We start from the raw sequence: 20,751 nt of genomic DNA, 5'->3' as shown, positions 1-20,751 counted from the left end.
GTCCTAATGAGCTCCCAGAGAAACTCCACCTACAGCTGCTGGAGTAAGGAGTGTGTAAAAACTGTAGGTGGCTCTCAGCCACGTGGTCAGAATCACGATGTACACACCATCTGGGGTGTACACACCAACTGGGGAGCACCCTTTCCTCCCCTCACAGCCTCTCCTCAGAGAACAACCCAGGCAGCATTGCTTCCTAGTGCCACACCTCAGTCCTATGTAACACACTAGCCTTCCTGGCCACACCCCTCACAGGCTTCCACTTCAGCTGATTATAAATGTTCAGCCATGAAGCGCACTTTTAGTTTCCCTGTTCCGGGAGAGAAGATATTTCCTTAGATAGAGTCCTAAAATTGACCAGCCAGGGATAAGAGAAGCTACGAATAATTTTATAACTTTGGTTACACTCACCTAGTTTGCTTTCCAGAAAGATTAGAACAACAAATATCTTCGTACCAGTTATATCAGAGACCTGAAAATAGTGTGATTTTTTTGGGTCCTTTATTTTTATATGTACTTTTAAAAATACAAAGAACATATAAATATAAAATAATTTCATTTAACCAAAATATCAAACTGAGAGCAAGCTAATCCAAGTGGTCTTTGCCTTATTCTGAATTATTTGCATAATAAATGTTTCCAGTGGTATTAATGTTAATTTTAGGAGGACTGTTTGGATTGTTTTATTTTAATATCAGACACACAGACTAGCTCCTGAGCTTACCCACCTGGGACAGCAAGTATGGAAAGTCATGAAAGTGAATAAGGAGTGTCTCTCAGAAGTTAGGCAGCAAAACTGCAGCCCTTCGCCAAACAGCAGCAAGTTCTAGGGAAGCAGAAAGGCAAATGGTGCTAACAGCAGCCATCTCTGAGCCAGCCCACAATTCCTCACCCACTGAAGTTATTAGCTAAAAATGCAGGGCTCCGGTCATATTTTATGTGTGTTTATTCCAAGCCTTCAAGTCTCATAATCCCTTTGCTGTCTGGTGGCATATGGACTGTGAGTCTCCAGGGCATAGCCAGGACAAGGTGTCTAGACTGCCCGATGGCGCCTGGTAACCCGGCCCTTCCCCAGTCAAGAATACTCCGGGCAGAAGCTGCTCCCCCGGACATGCCAGAGATCCTCACCCCGGCACACAGACAGACTAGCTCTGAGGCTCTTCCTGGATGTCCTAAATGGCCTCTCGGGACTCACAGGGGCTCACCCACATGGTCACCCGACTGAAGAGCGCTTGAATGGTAGCCATGGGGTTTTCCAAGCTATCTTGGGACTGAAACAACACCTCCTGGCTGACAGTCAGTCCAGTGAGACGGAGAGCCCAGTACTCCTCGTCCTCCTCATGCTCTGAGCACTTGGGACTGGCCTGCACATTTGGGCTCCTGGGACTCCATGACAGATTACTATCCCACTCCGGACCCCAGCTCCCTGGCAAACACAAACCAAATTGTGAAGGGAGGCTCCTCTCAAGGTACTGCCATCCACCACCTCAATTAACTTCTCAAGAAAATAATCACTGCTATTGCTCTGCTGAGCACCTCCTAGGAGCCAGGGGCCAAGGCACTTTACAAGCATTACATTCAGTCCTCCCAGCAACTTCACATAGCAGGTAACAGCATCTGTTTCACAGATGAGGAAAGGAAATTAGGCATTAAGGGATTTACTCAAAACTCACTGAGAGCACAGTGACAGAGCTGGAGTCAAACCAGAGATCACCTGACTTCAAAGCTCTCTTCCACACCCTGTGTGCAATACGCCTCCACACTTTGATTCTGAAATAAAGAATAGCATCTAGGAAACTGACCTAACCACGAAGAAACTGCTTTCCTCTCCAATAAGAACGAATAGCACTCTGGTGTTTAGGGATCTATGGAGGCATAGGCACAAAACCTCAATTTATTTGGAGTAATCATATTGCTCTAAATTACTCGAAAATAACTCATATTTTGGGTCTGAGAATAATATCACCAAAATTATTTCATCAAGTATGGATAGCGAATGGCCCACTGCAGTAGGCAGATATGATAAAGTAAAAGGACTTCTCTCCTCTACCAGGAGCACACCCCGAGAAGACGGTGGAAGAGTTATGACCAGGTATCCTGATATGTCCACCTTCCTGCCAGTGTTTACAAAAACCAAATTAAAAAAAATTTCACTTGCTTAGTAAAAATTTTCATCAATATTTAAGCTTTTGGTAAATGTTTAGTATCTCTGATACCTGATACCGTTTTCATTAGAAACTGCCTGAGGAGAAAGAACTGATTGTTTTTCCTATAATAAAATGGTGATGGCTTTTCTAATGGGGAGGTAACCGGATACAAATAGAGAGAAGCACAGCTTAGAGTGGAAAAAAGCTTAACCATTATGGCATTTTTTTTAGTGCAGCTTCAATGTATAGTAATTTTATGTTTGTTAATTACTGCTCACCTTGCTAGAGAAACAATTTCAAAAGAGAGTAGTTAAATCTGCTTGCCAATTAAGGCCTCAAGAGAAAATTATTTTTATCTTAAGATGATCTAATAAAGTTTAGATAAAATTAGAATTGGCTAGGGGAAATCTGATGAGGAGGATGTGCATGGTCTCACACTATCTCCCCACTCACTGCTCATTAGTGTCAAAGAAAAAAATAGTAACTATACAGTGGAGAAATAGGACAAGTCCTTGATCAGGTAATCAAAATTAATATCACTAAACATCACACACCTCCAGATGAGATACTCGAGAAGGATGCATCATCACTTATGACTTATGGAGTATTCCAGCTTTATTTGGTCATGAGGAAACATCAGAAAAACTCCAAAAGATGAACGTTCTTTTAAATTGGAACTATATTCTTTACAAATGTCAATGTCCTGGAAGACAAAGAATGACTGTGGAAATGTTCCAAATTAACGGAGGCTATGGAGATGTGACAACTAAGTGTAACATCTGGAGGAAAAGAAATGTTACAAAGAATATTGTCAACTGATGAAACTAGAACACTAACGATAGATTAAAGTATTTTTTCAATGTAAGATTTACAGAGGTTGATAACTGTATTGATTATGTAAAAGCATATCCTTATTTTTAGGAAAAATATACTGAACATTTAGGAGTAAAGTACCTTGATGATTGCAACGTATTCTCAAATAGTCACCCCCTTCCAGCTTATATATTTATACACACACACAAACACACACACACACACACACACACACACACACAGAGAGAGAGAATAAGCAAACAAGGCAAATGATAAACATAGGTGACTCTGGATAATGAGAGTATACAGGTGTTCTTGCACTATTCTTACACTTATAACTTTCTCTAAGAGTAAAATTTTATCCAAATGAAGTTAAAAAAATTGTCAAAAAAAGAAAACACACACGTATGTACTTTCTCAGTACCAGACTCAAGAAAACAACCAACTCACCCCGTATGAACTTCCTCCTAATGGAGTGTGGTTTTAGACTGATACGCACGGGAGGCGAGACAGAAGGAAATGCTGGAAATGGGACAAAGTGAGAGGGAAAAAGAAAAACGGCAACAGTTTATACAAACTCAACCCCAGTCCAGCTTAAGGGACGTGTGACTTAAGGAGCATGCAACTTTTCTGTGTTTCTTGAGAGTGGACTGCAAGAAGAAAGACATGAAGGTGTCATAACCCAGGGCAAAAGCCTGCTTAGCATCTAAATCCACAGAATCTCGCCAACAATCAGAAATAATAAAGTCTCAGTCTCTGCTCAATAGAAATTATGAAGATTTGCCATGACAAATCTTGCAAAATGAACTGCAGAGTCAACCTCATGCTGAATTTTCACCTCATTTTCTTATGCTGATTCACTGCAGGAATGTCCTTACTGACAGTTTAAAAACTGATTTTCTGTTTGCGCCAGATAGCTTTTAATTTCCCTGGCTGATCCTGCATTACATACTTGTAATACATGAGGTAGAGAAACAGAAGCTGAGAGAGAACAAAGAATCAAATGCCACATTTGCTAACAGCAATGACAGAAATTCTAGCAATGCTGAGGAGCTTGTCAATCTTTCAAGAATGGATCCTGACTAGAACTTGGTTTTTCTACATTCTTTCTAAAGCCAAGTGGCCTGAGAGTGACCTAAGGAACACTTCCAGGTCGAGTCTAAAAAAACAAAAACAAAATACTTTTCCCTAGACAGGAGTCCTCTCACCTTCAAAGGAAGTTTCTAAGATTTTCCAAAGCAGAGCCTATTTCAGAACCAAAAGTAGATCCTGCTCTCAAAAACAAATATACTTTAAAGACTTATTTTAATCAAAACAGGAAAATACAAGGTTCAAACTATGTTGGTTTTCCCTGGGTGTTCTGATTTTAGCTTACTCTTCCTTTCACAGATCTTTGTAAAAAATGACACTGTTCACCTGGAAAACAGGGCTTTGAGTAGATGTCCTTTGTTCTTTAAAACATTATAATCTATTGTCTCCATTTTGTGTGAGTAGGAGATATGTTGAAAATCAATAAAATGTTACATCTTACATTGCATCAAATTTTAATAAAGCATTGAGGGTAGCTATCAAAAAGGCCATTATGAAAAAGGCCAGCATTATCTTATCAGCCTTGATCATTAGAAAACAGAAAAAACAATCCTAATTCCAGTAGCACCAGAAAATAGGAGAGCCCTATGAATAACCTCACCAATAAAAATTTTAAAGAAACAGATGGAGAAAGAGAAACATGTTTTGGGCTGTGGAGAATTAAGATTATCTGAAAAATTAAGACACCCTTTATGTCAAAATAACTATAGTCCCAATCACTCCATATAAGACATTTTTTTTAATGGATAGTAAAGTCTTGATTCTATAGTTCACTCCAGCTCTACCACTTACACAATTAGTGTGTCCCTGGGCAAGTAACTTTCCATTCTATGCCTCAGTTTCCTCATCTGTAAAATAGGAATAGAGTGATAGTGTTCTGAGGATTAAGTGAGTTCATGCCTGGCACGTAGTTCGCACTCAATAATAGTTTACTATTACAAGTGCCACCATTACTACAGTTTCTGAACAAGGCCATTTTTTGAAGAAGAAAAATAAAAACGATTACCATGGTAATTAAAATACTATGGTACTGATGCAAGGATCAAACAGATCAATGGAAGAGAACAGATAACTCTGAAACACTATACATACAAGCACACATAGTTTTAATATAATTAATTAAGCATAAAAAACTAATTAGAAATGGGTTATTTAACAAACAGTTTTAGTAAACTGGCTAAATATCTGGAAGAAAATCAGCTGAGAATCTCATAGCATATTACACTCAACATAATCCAAATGAATTGAAAACATAAATGTTTAAAAAAAGCATGCAGAAGAAGAAATATATAGGTAAAATTTTATATAAATTTGGAATAGGGACAGACTTTTCTCTACCTTGAAGGGAAAATAATCACCAAAGTGAAGTGCTAAACTGAGAAAAACAGAATCAATAATATAAAAAGGCTATCTGCTTTATAAAACATCTATTTAAGCCCAAAGAAAATAAATGGGAAGAGCAATGGATGAACAACTAAAATTAAGGAAAACTTAATGAACAACTGAAAAACATTTAACCCCATTAGTAACTGAAAAATGCAAATCAAAACAAAGCAGTGTGTTGAAAATAAGTAGAGTGCTCAGGGCTGGCACAGCGCAGCAAGACAAGCACACTCACACCCTGGCAGTGGGACACAAAGTCAACGCAGCACCATCAAGACCTTGAAGGTTCACACCCCACCATCTCAGACTTCACCTTTTAGACCCTCCCCAGGGAAACAATCATGGCTAGAGAAAAAGATTCATGTATAAAGGGTGCTTTGTTGCAAGGTTACTTACAATGGTGATACGGAACCTGAATGCTCAACACTGAGGGAGTAATAGTTAAATCAAAGATGAAAACTCATACCATGAAATAGGATGAAACCACTAAAATCTCCCAGCTTTGAAGATTAGCATGTTGTGAGACCATTCCCATGTCCCTCAATCATATTAAGGGAAACACACCAAGCCTATGAAACTATACATAACATTTTCCCTGATCCTGAATGACTGAATAAATAAACCAGGTATACAAAAGGGGCAGAAACAAAATAAGCTAACATTGGCTAACTTAGTGATAAGATTATGAGTTATTCACATTGTGTTTTTTATTTTTATTTTACATTTTTTATAATTTTTTTAACCATGAATATCTAGAACTTGAATACTCAGGAAAATAACAAATGTTGACAAATAAGGAAAGAGTTAACTCATGGAATGAAAAAAATTAACAGTCAACCCTACTAGAGGCTTTCCAAAAACCTTCCTGAGTCTAGAACACTTACCACACACACTCTATTTTTCTTTATTTCTCACGAGCGACCACGATGCTCAGGCTCCATTCCTGCCTAAAGAAACGTAACCAGGCTAGGCACAGTGGTTCACGCCTGTAATCCCAGCACTTTGGGAGGCCAAGGTGGGTGGATCACGAGGTCAGGAGTTCGAGACCAGCCTGACCATGATGGTGAAACCCCGTCTCTACTAAAAATACAAAAATTAGCCAGGTGCGGTGGCAGGCACCTGTAATCCCAGCTACTCGGGAGGCTGAGGCACAAGAATCGCTTGAACCCTGGAGGTGGAAGTTGCAGTGAGCTGAGATGGCGCCACTGCACTCTAGCCTGGCTGACAGAGCAAGACTCTGTCTCAAAAAAAAAAAAGGAAAAGAAAAAGAAACAAGAAACATAACCAGAGCAGTTTTGCAAGGTGAACCTGGGTTGTGCCTGGCCCTCCTGAGCCTCTCCTGGAGCTGCTCTTCAGCTCCCGGCCACTTTTTTTTTTTTTTTTTTTTTTTTTGAGATGGAGTCTTGCTCTGTCACCCAGGCTGGAATGCAATGGTGCCATCTTAGCTCACTGCCACCTCTGCTTCCTGGGTTCAAGCGATTCTCCTGCTTCAGCCTCCTGAGTACCTGGGACACGGGCATGTGCCACCATACCCAGCTGATTTTTGTTTTTGTTTTTAGTAGATACTGGGTTTCACCATATTGGCCAGCCTGGTCTCAAACTCCTGGCCTGAAGTTATCCACTCACCTCAGACTCCCAAAGAGCTGGGGTTACAGACATGAGCCGCTGCAACCAGTCCCAGCCACATCCTTACTTCCCCACCTGCAAATAGGCATAGCCCTGCTTGGCCTAATTAGAGAAGTACTTTTTTCTTATTTTTTTGTAGTATTAAAACACACACACACACATACATACAACCCTCAAACTATCTTTCACTCATACATATTGAAATTTCTTACACACAATGGATATTTCTTATTATCGGAATTTGTGTTTTCATAGATCCCAGCACTATGAACTAATACTGTGTCCCTTTATAAAGGGTTTCTAACACTTCCAGTTTACTTGGTTGTTTTCATTGCCAGTATCAAAAATGGTGTGTTTATACTCCCCAGTTTTGTTGCCTAATTATTTTAATTAATATTCTTTTCATTTTTTTCTTTAGTATAAAGACAAAACACTAGTTCCTTCTCCTTTCTTCATTCCCATAAAATATGTATGATGGGAGAAAAATTTCTGCTCCAGAAAAGAAATCCATGACCCTGACTGGGTGAGAATCCTATATTAGTCCATTTTCACACTGCTATAACTACCTGAGACTGGATAATTTATAAACAAAAGAGGTGTAATTGACTCACAGTTCCGCATTGTTGGGGAGGCCTCAGGAAACTTACAATCATGGTGGAAGGCAGAAGGGAAGCAAGGATATTCTTCACGTGGCGGCGGGAGAGAGAGAGTGCAGGGGAAACTGCCACTTTTGAAACCACTGGATCTCATGAGAACTCCCTCACTATCGGGAGAACAGCATGGGGGAAACCACCCCCATGATCCAATCACCTCCCTTCAGGTCTCTCCCTCCACACATGGGGATTACAATTCAAGATGAGATTTGGGTGGGGACACAGAGCCAAATCATATCAAATCCCCTGCCAGGAACTTTTTCTACATGGAATGTACATGTCTGCATTTGGCAATCAGAATACAAAATGTTGGGAGAAGTCTGTATTTCTTTATTTTTTAATTAAAAAACAGATTTATGCTCTGATCTGGTCAGCATATGATCTCTTATATAATCTTGCATCTAGACACTAAACACCTGTGCAAACTCTCCTCCCAGGATTTGGTCTACTCTGTCTGAGCAGGGTAAGTAAAAAATTCTTTGTATTGACCCAGTCAGTTCCTAAAACCAGAATCTTCACTTGGAATTTCATTTGAAGTATTTCACTTGACTTTTGAACATTTAAGTAGAGAGGAATGTATGTGACGGGAAAACAGCTAAAAAGAAAAGTACCATGTTCTCTGCTCCCGCAAAACACAGTGGCCACGAGAGTCCCCAGCACAGGAACTGAGGGTAAGTTCCAAGAGGAAGGAATTGGGGAAGAAGGAGGTGGGAGGAGGAAACACAGCGTAGGAAGAAAAGGAGAACTTGGTGGGTTCCAAGAAGCACAACCCCCTGCTGAAACAGACCATAAGATACCACCAGCCCTCTGAGATTAGAGGATATCCTCAGAGGCTATAGCTAAAATCTTCAGCAGCCTTTGGGCAACCACCACTACATACTTCAGCTGAGCTCTGAATGTCAAGGAGCAGAGAGGCAAAGATCTATGAAGACAGCGTGCTCACCAAAAAAAATGGCAAGTGCCAAGGGCCTCAGCCTGGCATATGTGGGAAGTCTGATTGAACCAGTGTGGCTGAAGAATGGCAAGATGAGGTCAGAGGTTAGTAAGGCCAGATATCACAGGGCTACAGGGCCTTCTAGGCCACTGGAAGGACTTTGGACTTTATTCTTGGTGCCATAGAAAACTCTGGATAGTTTATAGTTGGTTTTTGAGACAGGTCTGTATCATTTAATTTTCACAAATCAAAGTAGTAAGTCTGTAATAGATTAAATGACACTCACATTCCTTAACATGGTCCACAGAGCCCTGCATCTCATGGCCCCCCACCTCACCAAACTTACCTTCTTCACCTGCTCCTGCTCCAGGGCTCTGAGGTCTGAATGTATCTGTTCCTGCCATTTAGAATATTCTCCCCAGACCTCCCCACCCTGACACATACAAATACCCCAATACTAACTCTCTCTCCCCAATGCCCTCTCACCTGTTCCTTTCTGTTTAAATGTCATCTTCCCAGAACTCTTTCCTGGTCCCTTGGTCTAAAGTCAGTTCTTCCTGTCCCTCCCTTTCATAGCACCCTGTTCTTTTCTTTCACAGCATTAATGACCATGACAAGTATAAATTTACTTAGTGTCTACCTTTCCCACTAGACTAACAGTTTTGAAAGAGTAGAAACATGTCTGTTTTGTTCATGACTGTATATGCAGTACTTGATAAATATCTGATAAATAGATACATAAAACTACATAATCAATAAAACAAAAGCTGGTTCTTTGAAAAGATCATCTAAATTGACAAACTTTTAGACTGACCAAGGAAAAAAGAGAAGATTTAAATAACTAAAATAAAGAAAGAAGTGACAATATCACCAATCTTACAAAATAAAAAGCATTATGGGTGAATCTATGAACAACTATATGCCAATAACTTAGATACTTCAGATGAAATGGACAAATTACTAAAAGGTACAAATTACCACAACTGATTCAACAAAAAAATACAAAATCAACAGACCTATAAGGAGAGATTTAATTGGTAATTTAAAAGCTTCTCACCAAGAAAAACCTAGCCCACATGGCTTCTCTAGTGAATTCTATCAATTATTCAAAGAAAAATTAATACGAATCATTCACAAACTCTTCCAAAAATTAGAAAAGAAGGAAACACTTCCTAACTCTATTAGACCAGTATTAACCTGATACCAAAACTAAACAACAATATCCCAAGAAAAGAAAGCTACAGACCATATCTTTTGTGAATAAAGATGCAGAAATCCTCAACAAAATACGCCTGAGTAAACTCTATACAAATAAGACACAGTTAACATCATACATAATGGTGAAAGACTAAATACTTTCTTTCTAAGATTAGGAATAAGATAAGGATGTCTACTCTCACCACTTTTATTCAATGTTGGACTGGAGGTTCTAGCCAGGGTAATTAGGCAAGCAAATGAAATAAAAGGCATTCAAAGTAGAAAGAAAGAAGCCGTAAGATGTCAATAAAGTTTTTTTCTTTTTTAAAAAAGGTAATATAATAATATAATACGTTAACTGCTTACAGTACTTGGTAGGCATTCAATAACAACTGGCTATTATGTTCATATAATGACATTTTCTCTTCCTAAATGTTTGTTGTGCTGTGAAACCAGGTTAAGACATGACTGTGAGAAGACAGAGGAAAGACTTATCTTTGGGAATGTTGGTACCTGGGCATCAAGAGCCTTTCCAAAATAAAATATTTATATGTACTGAATTTATAGGAATTTATCTGTAGCTCAGAGTGATAGCAAATTATGTTGTTTATCCTTATTAAGACTCAATCTTTTCAATTGTAAAATGCAAAACTGGGGCCTTTAAGAGCAAAAGGCATTCTGTTTCCATGGCTAGCAATTCCCACAATACACTAAGAGCAGATGGGTTCAAAAAGCAGAAATCACGTACTCACATTCCTCAAGACGGGTAGTGCCAACTGCTCAAAAGAAGTCAGGTCGACCACATACTGCCCAACTCGGCATTCACGTTTTCCAGGTGGAGGCTCTAACCTGAAGGAAAAGACATTATGTTCTTTGTTGAAAAACTCCTGTATTGATTTCTGGTTTTTAGCTGCTCCACTGAGCCTCTGGCATTCCACATATGCTAAATCATCCTTAAAAATGACCAACACAAAATGCGGTGGTCTGTAAAGCTGATCAGGTTTTCTCTGCTTTGAACAGAGCTACCCTGTTCAAAGTGTCCACACCTCCAACAATGGGCCTTGCAGTTATGGCAGGGCTATCTCTTAAGGTCCAAGCAGCTACTGCATCAACAGTCTTTGAAAAGTGGCACCAGAAACAGGACTAAGAATTATAAAGTGAGAGGAGTTTATGACTTGGTGAACAAGTTTTAAGTAAAATATCACTTTCTTATACTTTTTTCATGTGATGGTTTCATTCTGTTTTCTTTCTCTGAGAAATCCCTAAAGGCCTAAGATTCTTGAGGATAGATGACAACATTTGGCTCAACCCTGTGCCCAGGGAGACACTCTCAACCTAAAGGGAAAGCAGATGGGCATCCAAGGACCCAACAGAGTATCTGCTTTTGGTGAATTTAGCTCTTGTTGAAAAGCTCCCAAAGCACAGATGGAAGGGGAGCTTAGATAATAGAACACCACAGAAATGAAATATCAGTACCCAACTCTCGATAAAGGCCCCCGGGTGCCGGACAACGTGACGACATCGAATCCTATTCTTCTCCCTCCCTGTCTGACTTCTTCGGTATAAAATCCATCAACAGGCACACCAGAGGATTTTAAAACCTCACTGGCTTTATGGATCAATGTTGTTTTTCCAACTCCTAAAATAAAAAAAAAAAAAAAAAAAGAAGAAAAGCCCATTAGGAAACATTCCCTTACTAGAGCACACACAGCACTTGTGGACTCTGAGGCAGCAATTATGGTGGGTAGAGAAATGGGCTGTAAATGGATTTATGAATATGAACTTCAATTTAATTTTGATTGCTCCAGGTGCTAAAAATGCTTAATTTCAAGTAGAAACAAGCATAATAAAAACACGAATGATATCTTGAGGTTTATTTTTAAATTGTGAAACATTGTTAATTTTGTCACGTACACAATCCCAGAATCAACTGAGAGGTTCCTGATGATATTCTCCCATGCCATTTGCATCCTGTGAAATGGTTTACAGTTCCCATTTTTCTGCCCAGGAAGTAACACTGGTCACACTTGAGTCAGGGGCTGGGAATTTAAGATTTCAGCTTTCAAGAGATTACAAACGGACCTACACTTAACAGTGGGAAAATCACTTTGTTCCTCCTTTGACTTACATTGTTGTAACTCCTGAAAATGTGTCTCTTAAATATCATTAGCATCCCTGTTAATGGTCACTTTCAAACTTTTTCATAACAGCAAGCCTATCAGGTTAGCAACTCCTTCCAACATCATCTTCTCCAGGGTCTCTAAGCATTTCTTCACCTTTATCCCCCACACCTTCCCCAGTTTGAACCTATGTACCTCTGCCCCCTCAGCCTCCCCACCTTGATCCTTCCTGTCCATCCAGCCTGGTCAGCTGACTACTCTGATGAACTCACTGGTTTGTAAGCACCAACAGGTGCTACCTAATATAGTAATACTCATCACTGACGTCATGGAGCCAGACACTGTTCTAGCACACTTTGGAAGCATTTTCTTGGTTAAGTCCTCACAACCATCCTCTGAGGCAATTACCATCCTTATGCATATTTTACAGATGGAGAAACTGAGGTACATGGTGGTTAGGTATTTTACCCAAGGCTATACCCCTCATAAGGTCCATACCTTTCAACAGGGGACTTTACCTGTCACCATGACTTTTTAAAATATGAGCCTTGTTCCCAATATGGATTTAAGTAAGTGGCATCATGACTACCCAACAATGGAAAGAGAGAGAAAACTCCTAGCATGTCTGCAAGTGAGCTATTTTGAGATACTACAGAGTTGCAAATCATGCTATTTCTAAGACTACCCACTCTTTTAAGCCTCCTTGACATAAAATATGATCCATTATTCTTATTTAATGTATCTATCTTCACACTTCACATTAAAATAATGGCACCTGGCTTTCTGGAACATGAACAGCAACACAACAGGATTCTGGCTACAGTAAGCCACAGTGAGCATGCAGCTGGTAGAACTGTGTAGAACATAAAATGATGACATTCTAATCCAGCCCTGGCCATCAGTAACAACTGCTTTAGGAAAGTCACTAAAGAATCTGTTTCATGCAAGTAATGGCATTGCCGAATGTGTAAGCTGCTACTTCTTTTCTGAAGGGCAATTTCAATGCGCCTGCCACAGCACCCTGTAGTTCATGACTAGGAATTCATCCTCAGGAAACATCAACAATACAAATGTGTGAAAGAGGACATTCACTGCAACATTCTTTATAATAGCAAAACACTGAAAACAACCTAAATGTTGATTGTAAGGGAATGTTAACTCATGGCACCATGTATATAATAGCACATAAATACACAGAAATACCATGCAACCATTAAAAAATATACTGCTTATATGTATTTATTAGCATGGAAAATAGACCACAATGTATGAAAATAATATATGGAAAAAGCAGGTTAATAGCAGAAACCATTCCATTATGTTTTTTTTAAAGAATGGTCAAGTACGTGTCTACAGAAAAAAAAAATGTCAAGAAGAATACAGAACAAAGATTTACAATGTTGATTTCTGATGTTCAAATTCCCTGTGATTGTCACTTTCTTCCTTAAACTTTTCTTGTTTTTTTTAATTCTTATACTGAATGGGTCTTACTCTTATCCTAACAAAAATTGCCGTTTATATTTTGAAAAAGATAAAATGGAGCAACGGTAACTATTCCTGTTCACAAAGGGTATACTGTGGGGACTGTATGTTGTGTAGAACATAGTAGAGCAATAAATAGGAAGCATTTGGGCAAAGTCCCTTTTGGCTTCTTCAGCTCTAGGAATCTTCTTTCAGTTAATTTTTTCTTCATTAGTTAAGCTGCTACCCCAATGCTGTCTGGATAAGAAATGACCTCTGCTTCAGGAGACCTCGAGATGATAGCTGTATACCAGGCACAAACAGATCAGAAAGCTCTGGAATTATTTTGGTTCTGGTTCTCCCCTAAGCAGATCCTCAGATAAAGATTCAAGTGCAGGTAGTTTAACCTGGGCAGTGACAACATGATGGACTGGCAGGGAAGAAATTCAGAAAGGGAAGGGAAGGACACCAGCATGAGGTGCACTGTCAAGCAAGTTCCACTGGGGGCAGCTGGAGCTTCAACCCCCTGGGGAATCCTAAGGGACAAGTCAGGGCAAGTGGCTCAGTTATCCTGTCTGAGGAGTGAGAAAGTAGGGAATTTATCAACTAACTTTCACCAATCACAGGTTGAAGGCTAATCCCAGGGCACAGGAATTCCCTGGCTCTTCTGGCCTGCTCTGTTTGCAGGCCAAGTGGGCTCCAGGGACCAGAGAAAGCCCTCCAAGATGAGTCATGGGTACAGACAGTTGGAAATCGGAAAAAATGCTAAGTGCCAGGGGCACTAAGAGGATATGCAACAAAAAGTGACCTCTTTGAGAGGAGACTTTACCTGATGGTCTGAACATATTGAGAAAACAGAAAGAAACTAGGCAAATAAAAACACCTGACAATAACTCCTAATGGGGAAAAAAGTTATGTGTAAAAGGAAAAAAAAAAAATTAGAGGGCATGGTGGTGCATGCCTGTAGTACTAGCTACTAGGGAGGCTGAGGTGGGAAGATGGTTTGAGCCTGGAAGGTGGAGGTTGCAGTGAGCCAAGATTGTGCCACTGCACTCCAACCTGGGCAACAGAGAGAGGCCCTGTCTCAATAAGAAGAGGGAAAAAAAAGATGGGTAAGGTGGCTCACACTTATAATCCCAGTATTTTGGGAGGCCCAGATGGGAGGATCACTTGAGGCTAGGAGTTGGAGATCAGCCTGGGCAACATAACAAGAGACAGGTCTCTACAAAAAAAAAAAAATACCCGGGTGTGGTGGCATGCGCTTGTAGATCCAGCTATTCAGGAGGTTGAAGTGGGAGGATCACTTAAGCCCAGGAGTTTGAGAATGCAGTGAGCTATAACTGTTTCACTGCACTCCAGCCTGGGTGACAAAGCAAGATCCTGTCTCTAAAATAAATAAATAAATGGAAAAGAAATCATAGATTACTATGTGGCTCTGTTGTGATTGTCTTTACATGGCCATAATACTGTAAACATTGACTAATGAAAATTACGCTGTAACTACATTAAGAAGAGAAGGAGAAAAGACAAAGGTGCGTGGGTTTGAGGACAGGTTTAAGAGAGCTACACTGTAGAATTATTTGAGTCTTTCAACTACGTGTAGGTAAGACTTTGATAAAGCAGAAACAAGAACCACCATCAATACAATCACGGTAACAGGACACCTCCATTAATAAAACACACAGTTGTCTTGGGGTCAGCCTGCTGAGTATCAAACTGCATTCCAAGTTTCAAATAAAGGATTGACAAACCAACTTTCAGAAAACAGTTCTTTGCAATACTTAGGAGTGACTTTAGATAGCAGGCATTTCTCAAACCACCCTCCTCCTCCTCACCCCCTGCTCCCCAACTCCCCCATCCAATGCCTGACAAAATCCCAAAGTCTGCAATATTAGCTGTAGCCTTTGCTACTTACAACTAAACATAATCATTAAAATAAAGTGAAAGAGAATTCTAGATCCAGGGTTACAGCCTTTGATATCTGAACCCACACTAAACTTCAAAATTAGATTTGCCTTGCAAAGGAGCTGAAGAAATCACTTTCTCCACTCTTAGCCCATCTATCTTTTTTTAGCCTATCTGATGCAGCCTACCTGTCCTTTTTAGTAATGCTTGATACATGGGTAGCGCCTTGGTTTAAAAGCACCTCCTCCTACACCTCTCATCTGACCTCAACGCTATCCTGCTTCTCAGATGAGAACTCCACAGGCCACAGGGTTGAGGGATCTGACAGACATCAGGAGGGGACAGCGACAGGAACAAGCAAGAGTGTCTGAGAAGGGCTCCTGTAGGTACCAAAGCTTCTCCACCTCTGGCCTCAGCTGTGGAGGGAATTCGTGGGGATGGAGATGGGGATGGGGGTGGGGGGATGAACTTAGATGGGAAAGAAAGGTTACAACTTCAGTTTCGCTGTCCTCCAACTAAAATTTACCATTTTTTTTTTGCACGATCAATGTAGCAAAGACCCACAGTAAGGAAATACCTGTGACTATCAACAGAAATTAGACATCTCCACTTCACATCGCGGTTGCCGCAGATCTCTTGAAATACCATTTGTGCAGACCACAACGTCAACACTACAGTAGGAGTTACCGCTGCCGCTGGCCCCTGCGGTTTCTGCCCTTCATCAAGAAGCCAGTCTAGGACCCCCTCACAAGTGTGTTCTAATCCTTTAGGCCCTGTGTCTTTTAAATCACGTTTTCCGGGAAGGAGTACAAACTCTTCAGACTACCAAGCCCGCCATTTAAATTGGGAACTTCAGAGGCCGGAGCCCTGGAGCCGGAGACCCTCCCCGACAGCACAAGGTCGCCCGCAGCCCGCGCGCCCCCACCCCCTCGACCTCTTGGAGGTGGGGATCCCCTCAGGGTTACCTGGGGGCCCCGTTAGGAACACGTGCCGGGCCATACTGGTGGGCGGGGGTAGGGGTTGCGGTCAGGGGAGCAGTCCAGGTTGGGGTCGCAATTCAGGTCAGGTCCGGACCAGGGTCGCGACTCAGGACCCGCCCACCGCGTGTCGCAGGCCCCGCCCCCAAGCGGTGCTTTGACCGGAAGCACCGCCCTCAAGACCACGCATGCGCCTTCTCCCGAGTCCCCGGTCCGCGCCTGCGCATTCAGCCCTCGGCATTGGCGCCTGTGCCGCGGCAGTTCCTATAGGCGGAGCGGGTTGTACGGTCTCTTAAGTTTCATTCTGGGTTCAGGGCTTTTGTGGGGTATTTGCAGAGATAAGTGCGTGAGAACGTCAGTTATTAAACTATTGCTGCTTCAAGTCAGCGCCATCACCCAAGTTCTGCCCCTTGACTCCGGACCTAGGAGCTGAAATTGCCCAAGGCTGCCGGGACAGCCCTTTTGTAGAAGGTTTGTGACCTGGAAGCATTCCTCAAAGGGGGATGCCATGTTAATGACTCCAACTTTGTTCTCAAACATTCCTGCAGAATAGAATCAGCTGGGGAGTTTTAAACTTGCTCTGATGCCTGGGTTTCACCTGCAGTAATAGGGAGTGTCAGAAGACAAAATTACAAGTTTAGTTTAAAGATCTAATTGGCTTATATTTAGGATCTAGAATCGAGAAATAGATCATTTCATAAAGCAAATAGAGTGTTCCAATGAGTTGTGCAGAGGAGGTTGGCTTTATGGGCAAAAAAAGGCTGAAGAACAAAACAAAGAGTGGGTATTTCAAAGTTACTTTCCTTATAGGGTTAAAACAGATTGGACTTCGTTATTGTACTGACTCAGGTTAACTACAATCTCCTGTTTTTTGGGAAAACGGGCCTGTTTCAAAGTTCAGTTTGGTTACATGGCACTTGGCACAAGTGACTCCATTCTGGTTTGGTCTAGTCTGCTAGGACCTAGTGCAGGAGGTTAGTCCAAAACAATGGCCTCCCATAAATCTTGTTTAACATGAGTAATTGGTCTTGAGCGAGTCTTGAGCACCTGTATTCTTTTTTCTTCTTTCTAAACTCCAGGAAGTTCCTGAAGTGCGCTAGGGTTGAGAACCACTGGTGTAGGCAGGCTTCCCGTCCTCAGCCATGCATAGGACGCCCAGTTTTCCCTCTTTACTTTCACACCAAAGTGTATAAAGATCTCCTCTTGCAAAGAATTAAATAGCTTCTCCGTCTCACTTTACCACTGCAAGTGTTCCGGCCAACGAATGACGTGGCAGTGGCCTTGGGCCACATTTACCTGTAAACTCTTTCAGTCTAACATGTGTACAGCTTAATTTGTAGTCAGTCGTTCCCCATCCTGGCTGAGAAAGCAGTTCAGTGAGTGCTCAACTTAATTGGTTTCTGCCCACACATGGACCTCTTGGTTTCCCTTTAGCCTGAGACATATGCCAGTCCAATGATTATCTAAAAAAACAAAGTTGGATTTGTAAAATATAGCTGTCATCACCATCATTTCTGCAACATTTGTAATGCTCTATTATTATAACAGTATACTATTTATTATCCCAACTGTTAATGTAGGGCCTTCCACCTTGATTTATTTTGCAGTCCATATATGTTGAATACAGTGAAAAGTTGATATAGTAAAGTAAATTCATAGGAGGAGCTTCCAAAAAAAAGGAAAAAAGTATATGTATCTCTTGTATCAAAAGTACTCGTTTTAAATGTTAATCAGATAGCATTTTCCATCACTGAAAAGCAGTTTGGATTTGCAAGGCTCACCGGAAGTTGGGTTCTTTTGTTTTGTTGCTGTGCCTGGAATTCTGGCATCAGTTTAAGTAGCTCAAAGATACATGGAATTCAGATATGGTGAATCAACGTCTCACAAAACAGAAAAAAAGACTCCATAGTTGAATGTACTTTATCCATGGAAAATGAATTATTTGGATGGTAGTTCCACGGATATCTTCTTGTTAGAAAATTCATTGATTTGATGCTTAATTTCTACAGTTTCCTGTATGTGTTATTAGGTAACAATAACAAAAAATTAAATAGCTTATATCTCTTAGAGATTAACAACAAAAGAAGATGGCATAAATTGAAACAAATTTTAAAATAAATGGGATCTTAAAGTACTGTACCATACTGAATCCAACTTTTGCTTCCTATCTAATCAACATCCAATGGACGGATGTTTGTGTCCCCCCAAAATTCATATTGTTGAAATCCTAACCCACAAGGTGAAGGTATTAAAGTGTGGGGCCTTAAAGAAGCAATTAGGTAATCAGGTCACTAGAGTGGAGTCCTCATGAATGTGATTAGTACCCTTAGAAAAAGGCGGGAGAAAACTTGCTTTCTATCTCTCTGCTCTCTGCCATGTGAAGATACGAGGAGAAGACTGCTCTCTGTCAACCAAGATGAGGGCCTTCCCCAAGAACCCAGTCGTGTTGGCACCCTGATCTTAAACTTCAGCCTCCAGAGTTGTAAGAAATAAATGTTTTTTTGTTTAAGCCACTCATCTGTGGTACTCTATTATAGTAGCCTGAGCTAACACACAAGGTAGAATTAATTACCTAAGGAACAGGTGATTCCAAAGATTTCTTCTGCAACACCTGGGTGCAGCCTCACTTATGACAGGATGCAGTACAGTTCTTTATTAAAACAGTTTGTAGGTACAACTCTACAGTCTCTACAATTATAAAATACCCTAAAGTCCAAAAAACACTGTTTATTTTGTTTTCATATCTACCCTTTTCCCAGAACTGTCCTAATTTTTAAACTGCAAATTCTGTGTCTTAGAAAGCCCCTCAATCCCGAGCAAACCAGGATGAATGGTCATCAAACTGTTAAAGGAACATTTGGGAAGTAAAGCAGAAGGTTTCATGTGGTTAAACAAGATAATTCCTTCTTACAAACAAGTCAAAGGCTAATAATACTTTATTGTAAGCTGGTTGTCTTGTCAGCGGTGGTTATAGAATGACTGTTTAATGCAGTCTGTACCTAAACTCTGAGCCATTCATACCCTGAGTTCTAATCTCTGTGCAGAACAATGTTCTATCCTGCCAGTAACCCAGTAGGACAGAAGCAGAGATGACTCTACACCCTCACCCCACCCCTTCCTACACCGCATGCCTGGATGTCCCCCACGCCCAGCTGCTACTGGCATCCTGTGGCATCTTCCTGGCTGGACACAGAACAAGAGTTCTGGCATATTTAGGGTACAGTTTCCTAAGTACAGGAAAACTGAAAACAGAACAAAGAAAAAGTATGGATGTGAAAATAACCAAGTGGGAAGAGAGACCATTGTGTTGTTTGGCCAGCCCACTGTTCATTTCACTGTATGGAAATAGCAGCTAAATTCTCCTTTTAGGAACCCCCTTTCTCCCAGGCTCTGTGATTGATAGGAGTGAACCTCCCTCCCTTTCTCATTATCCAAGGGGAATACATGACCCAAGCCTGGTCAACGAGATCATTCTATCTTCCCAGCCTCAGTGATTGACTCTGAGGAAGCATGTGACCCGGGCAACACATCTACCCCTAGCCAGTGGGGATCGAGGACAGCCACCAGCCACCATGACTGAAGCAGAGGGACAAGGGGAAGTGAGAGGGGGTGTGAGAGGCCTCCCCCGCATTCTCCCCAGTCACTCCTTGCTCATCCTCCAGGATGGGCTCAACTGTTACTGCTCCCCAAGGCTTTTGTGATTCTCCAGGCCCAGCCTCTGCTCCCTTGGCCTTCCCTTACAGCACCCCCTGATTGCTGGCATCTGCCTCTTCTCCTGCCACCCAGTTATGAACTCCTCCAAAGGTAAAAATCTAGGCTGGGTGCGGTGGCTTACACCTGTAATCCCAACACTTTCGGAGGCCAAGGTGGGCAGATCACTTGAGGTCAGGAGTTCATGACTGGCCTAGCCAACATGGTGAAACACCGTCTCTGCTAAAAATAGAAAAATTAGCTGGGTGTGGTGGCCCGGCACCTGTAATCCCAGCTACTCGGGAGGCTGAGGCAGGAGAATCGTTTGAACCCAGGAGGCAGAGGTTGCAGTGAGCCACTGCACTACAGCCTGGGCAACAGAGTGAGACTCCACCTCAAAAAAAAAAAAAAAGAATCTAAAAAATCTTGTGCTATTCATCTCTTTATACCCAGAATATAGCACGGTACTTACAACACATTCATCCATCACTGTGTACCAGGAAATGTACGTCCTGGAGATACAGCAGCAAAGAAGACAGTCTCTGTGCTGCTATAGCTTATATTCTGGTGGGAGACACAGACAGACAAGTACATAAATAAAATGCCACAGAGTAGTAAGGCCATGGAGGAAAAAATAAAAGGATGGGAAATGAAAAGGGAAGTGGATGTGCTACTCCATAGAAGGTGGTCAGGGAAGATATTACTGAGAATACAGCATCTGAGCAGAGAGTTGAAGGAAGCAAGCCCTGCCGGTGTCTG

General features: G+C 41.3%; 1 protein-coding gene and 1 long non-coding RNA gene across 9 annotated transcripts in view, besides 7 other annotated features; one reads left to right on the top strand and one right to left on the bottom strand.

The window, feature by feature from the left end:
* Positions 1-16,424, bottom strand: part of NTPCR (nucleoside-triphosphatase, cancer-related) — a 33,272-nt gene extending 16,848 nt beyond the window's left edge. For 2 of the 8 annotated variants that reach the window (NM_032324.3, NM_001329453.2), the window contains exons 1-3: positions 16,291-16,424; positions 11,316-11,478; positions 10,592-10,688 (exon numbers count right to left, since the gene is read on the bottom strand). In NM_032324.3, the coding sequence (NP_115700.1) occupies positions 10,592-10,688; positions 11,316-11,478; positions 16,291-16,324 (294 nt within the window). In that variant the 5' untranslated portion in view covers positions 16,325-16,424. Of the gene's footprint in view, positions 1-10,587; positions 10,689-11,315; positions 11,479-15,902; positions 16,194-16,290 lie in introns of those variants that run through there. The other 6 variants (NR_138026.2, NR_138028.2, NR_138027.2 and 3 more) reach the window with 5 other exon arrangements.
* Positions 13,836-14,045: an enhancer, noted in NCBI's record as "active region_2736". NCBI's record gives its function as "activates an Ori minimal core promoter by ATAC-STARR-seq in GM12878 lymphoblastoid cells {active_cell/tissue: GM12878}" and the evidence as "EXISTENCE:reporter gene assay evidence [ECO:0000049][PMID:35858748]".
* Positions 13,836-14,480: a biological region, named in NCBI's record as "H3K4me1 hESC enhancer GRCh37_chr1:233088301-233088800".
* Positions 13,981-14,480: an enhancer, noted in NCBI's record as "H3K4me1 hESC enhancer chr1:233088301-233088800 (GRCh37/hg19 assembly coordinates)". NCBI's record gives its function as "activates a minimal SCP1, AML or CMV promoter by ChIP-STARR-seq in naive H9 embryonic stem cells {active_cell/tissue: H9 hESC(naive)}" and the evidence as "EXISTENCE:reporter gene assay evidence [ECO:0000049][PMID:30033119]".
* Positions 15,486-18,815, top strand: LOC107985361 (uncharacterized). Its single transcript, XR_001738525.2, has 2 exons — positions 15,486-15,707; positions 15,879-18,815. It is a non-coding gene; the product is annotated as an uncharacterized LOC107985361 (long non-coding RNA).
* Positions 15,609-16,148: an enhancer, noted in NCBI's record as "H3K27ac hESC enhancer chr1:233086633-233087172 (GRCh37/hg19 assembly coordinates)". NCBI's record gives its function as "activates a minimal SCP1, AML or CMV promoter by ChIP-STARR-seq in naive H9 embryonic stem cells {active_cell/tissue: H9 hESC(naive)}" and the evidence as "EXISTENCE:reporter gene assay evidence [ECO:0000049][PMID:30033119]".
* Positions 16,149-16,690: an enhancer, noted in NCBI's record as "H3K27ac hESC enhancer chr1:233086091-233086632 (GRCh37/hg19 assembly coordinates)". NCBI's record gives its function as "activates a minimal SCP1, AML or CMV promoter by ChIP-STARR-seq in naive H9 embryonic stem cells {active_cell/tissue: H9 hESC(naive)}" and the evidence as "EXISTENCE:reporter gene assay evidence [ECO:0000049][PMID:30033119]".
* Positions 16,149-16,702: a biological region, named in NCBI's record as "H3K27ac hESC enhancer GRCh37_chr1:233086091-233086632".
* Positions 16,603-16,702: an enhancer, noted in NCBI's record as "active region_2735". NCBI's record gives its function as "activates an Ori minimal core promoter by ATAC-STARR-seq in GM12878 lymphoblastoid cells {active_cell/tissue: GM12878}" and the evidence as "EXISTENCE:reporter gene assay evidence [ECO:0000049][PMID:35858748]".
* Positions 18,816-20,751: the final 1,936 nt, after the last annotated feature.

This window comes from Homo sapiens, chromosome 1 (genome assembly GCF_000001405.40).
Source record: "Homo sapiens chromosome 1, GRCh38.p14 Primary Assembly".
Taxonomy (NCBI): domain Eukaryota; kingdom Metazoa; phylum Chordata; class Mammalia; order Primates; family Hominidae; genus Homo; species Homo sapiens.
The sequence above is the reverse complement of the archived record's forward strand: the minus strand, read 5'-3'. Positions and strand labels throughout refer to the sequence as shown.